Source organism: Homo sapiens, chromosome 5 (genome assembly GCF_000001405.40).
Source record: "Homo sapiens chromosome 5, GRCh38.p14 Primary Assembly".
Classification (NCBI taxonomy): domain Eukaryota; kingdom Metazoa; phylum Chordata; class Mammalia; order Primates; family Hominidae; genus Homo; species Homo sapiens.
In genome coordinates this window covers 23,341,041-23,351,653 of record NC_000005.10, presented here as the reverse complement: position 1 = coordinate 23,351,653, position 10,613 = coordinate 23,341,041, and the positions used below count along the sequence as shown (strand labels likewise).

Sequence of the window (10,613 nt, the reverse complement as noted above, 5' to 3'; positions counted from 1 at the left end):
TTCTAGGATGCCTACAGAAACCAAAATCTGTAGATGTTCAAATCTCACATGAAAAATGATGCACTGTTTTCATATACTCTAAACACATCCCTCCATATACTTTAAATCATCTCTACGTTGTTTATAATACCGAATACAATGTAAATGCTACATAGTTATTATACAATTTTTTGTATGTGTATTATTTTTAATTTTTGTATTTTATTTTTGTTTTTATTTTGGTGAACACAATATTTTCTATTTGTGGTTGGTGAATCCACAGATACAGAGGGCTAACTGTTAAGTCTCTTTGTTTTATTCAGAAATCTGCAAGGTAAAAACATCTCCAAGTATGACTATTGTTCCTATGAAGGCGGGGTAATAAATCAATCAATGTTGTGAATTTTAAATCACCCTAAATATTATCTAAAATGATGGAATAAAAAATAGAAATAAGTGTTCTTAAAGTTTCTTTCTACTGGACACCACTGTCCCATAACATCAGAGAATTATAAGGGAAAGATTATAAGCCTAATTTCCTAGAACATGAAAAGAGATTAAACTTTGTTATTGGCATGAACAATGAGAAGCTCAATTTGGGATAATTTTTATTATTCTTTCCATTATAAGATGCACAGTATACTAATCTAATGAGCGCAAATAAGATTGACTTGTCATTAGATGTGTAAAGTATTTCAACAGCATCACTTTATTCTCCTTCAATCTCCTAACATAGTATGTGATTCATGTCACACAGATATTCATTCAAAAAGGTGAAAATGTTAATCTCTACCTAAGTTTTTCAGTGAGTTACAAGGATGTCCTTTGATGATTGAATTAAATGACACAGAAAAATGCCCAAGTTAGTCTAATGTACTCTCGTTAAAATGCATGTATGTTTTACCTAGTATAGGTCTTTCTATTGGCTATGCACCTAGGGATATATATTTTTTAATGCATTCTGATGGAAAATTTCTTACTGGAAAAAGTTTTTAAAGATCACATTTGGTGAATAACATGTGAAAAAGTGTAATTTGTTTTGCTCAGTCTGGATTTTGTCCAGAAAATAATACTTCCCTGTATTCATACTGAAGACACATACAATTGTTACATTGGATTTTCACTTACAAAGTGTTGTGATGGGTATATTAGCATTTATATAGAAAATATGATTTTTTACAATGAATACCAATTATTTTTATTTTTTACAATATCTAGCACTCAGGATAAGTGTATGGTATAAACTCAGAATATAGGTGCATGCCAAGTCATGTATTCTATAATATACTAAATTCCCATAAAATTATAGGTATGTTGTGCTTAGATAAATTCTTAGTTATCAGAGGAATGCATTTTTGGTTACTAATTTTAGGATTTAGTATAAACTGTATATATGACTGGTTAGTTTTAAAGACCAAATAAGAAAAGGTGAATGGGAACAGCCCTCAGGAAAAAAATGATTGGTATGAATTTAATGGAATTTTACATCATACAAGGATTTCTTACTCCATGAAGGGGGATGAGATGGTACGGTTTGAAACAAAGAGATGAAATTGGGCAAATGAAGTTAAAAGTACTGGCAACATAAAGTTCACTGCTTAATATTAGCTGCTTATTTAAGAATATCTTTCCATAATTCATTGAATTCAGACTGGTTTGTGAAAACTTATTATGCTCCAGGCAATTAAGATATAGCAAAAATTAGATATTATCTTGTCTTCAAGAGATATAGGCTGTTATCCTAGGTATAGAGAAGTAAACTGGTGATTTTCCTAGAGTAAAATAAATATTTTGACAGATGAATATTCAGAGTTTTATGGGATGAAATGCGGTTACAGAGACCTGTAACCATCTTGGAAAATGTGGCATAGAGCTGAGTCCTGGTGGCTGCTCAGAAGCTAACTCAAGAAAGAACTGGGAAGAGCATTTTCAGGCATGAAAGTATAGTACATAAAAGCTGAGAGTTGGGAGAGATTGTACATAAAGTATAAATGGGAGAGTGCTGAGCCAAGTAAACATATGGGCACCAATGCATGCATGCTTATTTGTGATGCATAGATGGGAGGGCACAGGACAAAGACCCTGCAAACATAATCCTCAGTGTACCATGGAAATAGCACAGCAGTTTGTTTTCTTCTCCTTTAGGAAATTTGAAGAATTATATTTAAAGATAGTTTATAAGAATAAAGCAAATTAAAAATACAAATATATAAAGAAGGCAAAAAATACCACCTAGCTCTCAATATTTGGTTTTCAGCCTCAATGTTATATTTTAATATATTTTAGCTTCCTAGTTATTGTTTGGGAGGGTTTGTAGTTACAGATTATATCACTCTCCCTTCTGCTTTGAGGAACTGACAAAGGAGTCTGACCTAAAATGGTAATTTCATTTACAGATGAATCTGGATGACTAAACTCATCAGGGACAAGGATAATATGGCCTCTTGGGTGCTTTCCCTTCAAACTGAACTTTCCTAAAATCTCAGAAGTAGCGGTACCATACTCAACCTAGAAGAAAGGTAAGATTTCTATAAAGAAACAAACAAACAAAACCATCAGTGTAGCATGTTTTTAGTAGTGTTGGCATTGTTCATCGAATAGTACTTGTGTTTACTGTGGGATACTGAAAATTAGTAATAATACAATATTCTAATCAAATAATACCTTATGCCTTTAAGAAACAAGGTTCTAGATGTGGTGAAAGAAGAAATAGAGATACAAGATAGGATAAAGTTTGTAAGCCTGAATTCCATTTGGAACTCTCAGAATGGAATCATAAATCTCTTTTATATAATATGTTTCCTATAACTGCCAATGGAAAGGCTTAGAAATAGTGAAAGAAACCTCTTCTTTGAAGCATCCTGTGTGAAAAATTACTGCTAGTGTCCAGACAGTGGTCCTGAAATAACATATTTCACTAAAAAGCAAATATGATAACAGAGATCTCCATAGAAACAAATTTATTCCTTGTTTGAGGCAGAGCATGGACAAGATGGACCATTTTGATAACCAATTAGCACAGGAGTAAAATAGCTAGTAAGGATCTTATTAAGAAGACTCAGGAGACAATTTGAAGCAGTATTCACTGGCAAAAGATGGAAAATTTGTATCCAAGAAGACACTGAATGAAGCACAGCCAAATACATCAACCATACTAAATCCATAAGTTCATAACAGTATTTAAGACATAAGTTTTCAAATATGATGTGTTGTCAGGAAGCAAAGGAACAGTACCAAGCATTTATCTTGCCTTTATTAATGAACTAAACCCTAAAATAACCACAGGTCTACAAGGTAAAATGTATCTTTTTATAAGTATTCTTTTATCCTAAAAGAAGGAAAAATAATGTAATTATAAGAAAATTTGTGATAAACTAATAAATTAGTGTATTGAACATCAGCTCATACAAGAAGAAGATATATAGTAAACATTATATGACTTTTGATGAAAGAAAAAAATGCCATCTATAAAGAAGTCTTGACAGAACATCACATGGGTTATGACTGAGTCTCGAGCGAAGCAAACCTCAGTGAAATTTTTTTTTAAGTTGTAGAAATGAACAAGCTGATTTTATAGCTTAAAGTTAAATATAAAGAATATGGAATGTCTAAACAATCTTGAAAGAGAAGAAATTTGGAGAACTTACACTACCTGATTTTAAGACTTATTACCATGTATCTAGACTGTGGTTTTTGTGTAAGAATAGAAATAAAGAACAATGGTGTGAAAAACAGAAGCAAGAACAGACATCTTACATGTACTAGTTTAATAGCTTTTTGACAAAGTTACCAAATAATTTCAATGTAGACGGGGTAGTCTTTGAACAACTAAGGGTAGGACAATTGGATACAATCTTTGGGGAAGAATTAACAACAGTATTTAAAACCCAACTAACACAATATTCAATTAATACAAAAATATACCACAGACAGATATTTTAAAGTTGAAATATATGAAAGATAGGCAGAAACACGGAAAACATAGGAAAGATCACTGCGAAAATGAAACGGTAGAAAAAAATTAGTTTTGACCTTGATGGAGGCAAGAATTTTCTAGAAATGACAAAAAAGTATTAAGCACACACAAAACAGATACATTTTATTGAATCATATTACTTATATCCTTTAAGATACATTTTAAAGATGAAAAGTACGCCTCACAAGGAGAGAAAAATGGTTGCATGCTTTATTAGACAAAGGACTTGTTTACACACTTTATAAGATATCTTTAACTTTATGAAAGTTAACAACCCAACAAAAAAAGGTCAAAGATTTTAATACACACTATCCAAAAGAAGTTAAATGAATATTACATAACCAAATGAAAAGAAACAAACATTCATAGTCATCAGGGAAATGCAAATTAAGCCACAACAAAATACCACCACACAAAATGAGAATGGCTAAAATTAAAGACACGCCACATACTGGTGGGATGGGAAATAATTTATTGTCATTGCTGGTTAGGGAGTAAAATATTTTGGAAGTTTCATATAAAATTAAGAACACACTTCCTATATAAAGGAGTAATTTCAACTCTAGGTATTTAAACAAGAGAATGGCTTGCACACAAATGTTCATAGCAATTTTTTTAAGGTACAGACCTAGAAACAATACAGACACCCATCAAAAGCAAATAAATTAATATTGTGATATATACATAGAAATATGACTTGGTAATATAAGGTAAGGAACTGCTGATATCACATACGGTAGCAAAGATGAATTTTATGAACAGCATGCTGAGTTACAGAAGACAGAAACAAAATAGTATAAATGTTAATATTTTATTTATATGAAATCTTAAAATAGTCAAAACTAATCCTTAATCATAGAAACCAGCTGTGGTTTTTTGAGGCTGAAGAATGAGATTGTGGAGTGATGGGATGAGGATAACTACAAAGAAAACTTTAGTAAGTAATCTGATTTGGTTGTGTCCCCACCCAAATCTCATTTTGTGTTGTAATCCCCATGATCCCCATGTGTCTAGCAAGAGACCCTGGTGGGAGGTGATTGGATCATGAGGGAAGTTTCTCCCATGCTGTTCTTGTGATAGTGAGCGAGTTCTCAAGAGATCTGGTGATTTTATATTTTCTAGGGCTCTTCACACTTGGCTCCTCACTCTTCTTTCTCCTGCTACCATGTAAAGAAGGTCTTGATTCCCCTCCAACTTCCGCCATGATTATAGGTTTCCTGACGCCTCCCCAGCCATCCTAAACTGTGAGTCAATTAATCCTCTTTTCTTTATAAATTACCCAGTCACAAGCAGTTCTTTAGAGTAGCGTAAAAACAATTACAGTGAATTATAGAAATATTTTATTATTATTATGGTTGAACTGCTTTGATTATATATTTTTATAATGTATCAAAGTATATGCCTAAAATGTTTTTTTAAAAATAGGGAAGCTATACTTCAATAATGTAGATTATTTAAACAATTAAGAATATGCGAAGTAGAATGACTTTTTCTGTTGTTCTAAAATCTTGCAAACATAAAATAGAATATTTGTAGTGTTGTGTTTGGGGACATGTTACACATTGATGCCCTGGTTTGAGTACTATGAAAACTAAAAAATATTTTCTAAAAATCTCTCTTAAATTCATTATGAAATTTTACTTTAATATAAAATTGATTAAACCATGTCCCCATTTTATTTCAATAGGCAATATACTATTATTGTTCTTTAGAAATAGGATTGTCTCTGAAGTGATTTGAGATTATGATGTTAAGATAAAAAATGAACATAAATATTTACACAATATTCATGGCCTTTATTCACTGGTTCATTGCTTTTTATTTTGTTTTGTTTGCTTTGTGATCTACTTCTCAGTTCAGCAAAAATGTCAATTCCTTAAATAAACTCATTATACATACTAATTGAGTAAATGTGCTCTTTATAAATAATATTATCATGTTGAAACTTAATAAAAATGCCCAAATATGAATTTTTTAAAAAAACCTGTAACTATGATGTTAATTAATCCATGTGGAAAGCAATAGACTATTTAGACAAATAAGTTGTATGCTTCTGTATAGAATAACAATTTAAATAAATCACCAACCAGAAAAGAGATAAAAACATTGTGTATTGGTACAGCAAAACAAATGCTAGACTTTATCTCAAGTTCAGTGAAGCTATATGAAAATCTCAATTGAATGGCAAAGAAAATAATGAGAAATGCTTTTAGGCCTGAACAACATTTAACAGAAATATCAACCAAAAAAAACCCCACAATTTTAATACGGCAGGAGTTGAGGAAACCTGCCAACAACTGAAGATCTATTTTGTAGTGAATATAAAAATGTGAAGGTGATTCCAAGGAATTCAACTGAAATAAATTCACATGAACCATGATTAACTGGATTGGAGACTAAAACTAGCTAAACTCTGCTGAATAAAGCTGGGTTAACAGCCAAAAGAGAGATGTTTTTCTAAATGATACCTGAAGTCTACTTAACTTTTTAAAAATGTTTCTTTTTTTGTTGTGCTAAAAATCATATAAGATTTATCCTCTTAGAATTTTAAGTGTGCAACACAATATTGTTTAAGCACAATGTCCTTCAGCCAACTTTAGAATTTTTCAACCTGCATGACTGAAACTTTGCACCATTGAACAGCCATTATCCATTTTCCCCTTCCCTCAGCCCTGACAACCACCATTGTACCTTCTCCTTTCCTGAGTTTGCCTACTTTAGATATCTCACACACGTGGAAGCACGCAGTGTTTGTTCTTGGTTGACTGGGTTGTTTTACTTAGCATAATATCCTCAGATTAATACATTTTATAGCATATGACAAGATTCCCTTCTTTTTGTGGCCGAATAATATTCCTTTATGTGAATATACCATATTTTCTTTATCCATTCATCCATCAATGGACGTTTGAATTGTTTCCTTATCTTGCAAATCAGACTGCAATACCATAAAAATGCACATATCTCTTTGAGATCCTTATTAATTTTAACTTTTATTTTTGGTTCAGAGGAACATGTGAAGATTTGTTATATAGATAAATTGCATGTCATGGGATTTAACATACAGATGATTTCATCACCCAGGTAATAAACATAATACCTAATAGGTAGTTTTTTGATCCCTTCTCTTCTCCCACCCTTCACCCTCAAGTAGGTCCCGGTGTCTGTTGTTACCTTCTTTTTGTCTATGTGTTTTCAATGTTTAGCTCCCATTTTTAAGTGAGAACATTTGGTATTTGATTTTCTATTCGCATGTTATTCCAGTTCACTTAGGATAATGGCCTCCAACCTCATGCACGTTCTGCAAAGGACATGATAGGATACTGATTTCAATAATTATAGATAGATACCAGAAGTGTGATTGCTAGATTTCATGGTAGTTCTACCTTTAATTATTTGGGAAAACTCTATACCGGTTTTTATAGATGCTATACCATTTTGCATTCCCACCAACAATATACCAGGACTCTGATTTCTGCTTCACAATACTTGCTATCTTTTTTTTTTTTTGCTTTTCTAATAATGGCCGTTGTAATAGGTGTGAAGTGATGTCTCATTTTTGCTTTTAATTTTCATTTCCCTGATGATTACTGAGGTTGAACATCTTTTAATATCACTGTTGGTCACTTGTACATCTTCTTTGGAAAAATGTCTATTCAAATTCTTTGCACATTTTTTAGTTGGATAATTTATTTGTACGCTATTAAATAGTAGGATACATCTCCTTAAATTTTAACAGTATTTAACAACTTTACAATTGACAAGGCTTTGGTTAGCATGTAAGAAATACATTGCAAGATATTGGGATAATGTAATAAATTCAACAGCAATCTGCAACTGATATTCAGCATATCGCTAATAAAGTAATAATGCTTTAAAACACACACTTTTTGATCAAGATAGAACTATGTCATCTATGTGTCCATTAACGTCCAAATTAGTATCATTTGAGTTATATTTCCTTTCAAAAAATCTCTCATTTGATGAACTAAATAATAATATTGTGAAGAAAAAATAATTTATCATCTCCCACCTCCATTAATGTCAAAAAAGGAATTTTATATAGACAAAAGACATGAAACACGATTTCCTACTATAAATTTTAGATGGATGGATTCTACCTATAAAAGATTTCATCTATGATTTCTTTCTGCCTTAGAGACATTTTGTAGGGCAACACTTTTAAATATTTCATATGAAATCTTGTAGCCTGATGAAAAATGGATGGCTTCTGAATACTTAATTATGTTTTTGTTAAATTTTAGTTTGGTTTTCTTTTTTAAAACTCCATTGGTCCTCTTTTATAATTTTGACAAACCAAAATTAATTTAATAAAACATTTGTTATTTTAAAGCACCTTAAATTCTGCTGATTAAGGGAAATTACCATTACCATTTTAATATATGTCATTCCAACCTTTTGTGTATATTTTATGTAACTGCTATTATAAATTACACATACAATTCACAATCCTCATTTTATAATATAACGATATATTGAACATTCGTCTTATTAAAAGTATTTTATAACATTAGTTTGAATGTGTTCTAAGTTTATAGTTATTTTATTGTAAGGCTAGAACATGCTGTAGCTTTTCTCATACCATTAAGATTTAACTAATTCAAGTATTTTGCTTTTGACTTTTGATTTTATATGTAATGGCAATTGGAAAAATCATTTTTAAAATGTTTATTTCCACTGGAAAAATCCTCAAAATGAATGCTAAACAAAATAATCACCCTAATTTTTAGATGTGATATACATTAGGGTATGTATGTCTGAGTAGATTGTCAATTATTCTCTCATCATTTTCAAATCCTACTTTATTTCTATCTATGCATGTATCTATGTAGTGTTATATATTTATTATTAATTATATATTATTATATAGTATTATATATTTATACTATATGGCAACATATAGTATTTACTACTTTTATAACTTTATACTTAGAATTGTCCACATATTATTCACTTTCTTAAATATTAATTCCTAGTGCAGGATGCACCTTTGTAGAGTCTCATACTTTATATTTACCTAATCACTAATTGTGGGTTATATTGGCTAATTTAAACTTAAATTTCATTTTGATGGAACCACTTAATCGACTCTGTATATTTCTCATAATTTTCTTCATAATGAATGGCATTGGTCATCCAGTTGATATTATAATCTTAATCTTAAAAAATTATATCTTTTCATACAATTCTCTGTACATTTTCACTGTTTTTCTCTAAGAAGAATGACTGTTTTTTACATATATGGTAATATTAGTGTTGACATTAAGTTGTTTTACCAATTTGTTAGAGGCAATATATGAATTATATGAATGTGCTGTTTTTCCTTGCATACGAGTTTTATTAATATTTCTCTTTTTCAGAAATAATTACCAATACATTTTTTCTTTTAAAATAATTTTCTATTTTTTTATATCTATTTTTTGCTTATTGAATTTTGTTGAACTTTTCCTCTGGTTTATTATTTGCTTTTTTATTTTGCCCTAGTAATTCAACAATCACTTTTGTCTCTAATTTTTGTTGTCAAATGTTTTGACCTTTCCTCTTGTGATCTATTTTGTTTTGTATGCTAAGCTAAATATTATCGACCTCACATTGACTTTAATTCTGGCCTTTGTCAATGATTCTCGATGTTTTTAGAAGATATATAAGTGATAGTGTAAGAAACTCAATGTTGTCTTCTGGAACCGTGGGAATGGTGGTGGGGCTTGGATTTGAGGAGCAGTAATAATGGCTGGTACTTGAAAGAAAGACATTTTATTAAATTTTCCATAAACCTTAAGAAATTGATTACTTTTGTCATTATAGTGCATTATTTACCCTTACTTTTAAAATTCGAATGTTTAAAAGTCTACTCTAAGAATAAATGGGTGATTCTTCTTTATATTTAATATTAAATATAAAGAAGAATCACCCATTTATTCTTAGAGATTGTTGGTAGTTTTGTGGCTGAAAAAATTATGAAAACAGGGTGTTTTATAATTTTATTCAACTGGAATTAATGGTGGTTTATGTGTAAGGTAATTACAATTTTATTATTTGCACTTAAAGGATTACCAAAACAGTATATGTTTTGTTTTGTTGTTGTTGTTTTTTTGAGATGGAGTCTCTCTCTGTCGCCCAGGCTGGAGTGCAGTGGCACCATCTCAGCATCTCAGCTAATCACAATCTCCGCCTCCCGGGTTCAAGCGATTCTCCTCCTCAGCCTCCCGAGTAGCTGGGACTAGAGGCACATGCCACCACGCCCAGCTAATTTTTGTATTTTTAGTAGAGACGGGGTTTCCCCATGTTGGCAAGGCTAGTCTGGAACTCCTGACCTCAGGTGATCTACCTGCCTCGGCCTCCCAGAGTGCTGGGATTACAGGCGTGAGCCACTGTGCCCGGCCATGTATTTTTTAAGTATTTTTTTCCCATTGATTTTAAGATACATTTCTTTCTGGTTTTAGTCTCTGCTACACCCATGTGAGTTTCCTGATGATTTAAATTTGTGATTTACAATATTTTCTGTTATTTCTAATGCAAACCTTTTTTTCATATTTTTTTTTGAAGATTCCTGGTCTGTTTATAACAACATATTTATTCCAAGAGAGGTTTATTTGCTTGACAAGTTCAAAATCTTTTTTTTTAAATTTAACTTCTA

General features: G+C 31.0%; 1 long non-coding RNA gene across 2 annotated transcripts; it reads left to right on the top strand.

Moving 5' to 3' along the window:
• The first annotated feature begins 2,381 nt into the window (after positions 1–2,381).
• Positions 2,382–6,996, top strand: LOC105374688 (uncharacterized). Of its 2 annotated transcripts, none has more exons than XR_925853.1 (4): positions 2,382–2,498; positions 4,815–4,892; positions 5,078–5,199; positions 6,964–6,996. It is a non-coding gene; the product is annotated as an uncharacterized LOC105374688 (long non-coding RNA). The 2 variants fall into 2 exon arrangements; XR_925852.2 differs by lacking the exon at positions 2,382–2,498 and adding an exon at positions 2,809–3,273.
• Positions 6,997–10,613: the final 3,617 nt, after the last annotated feature.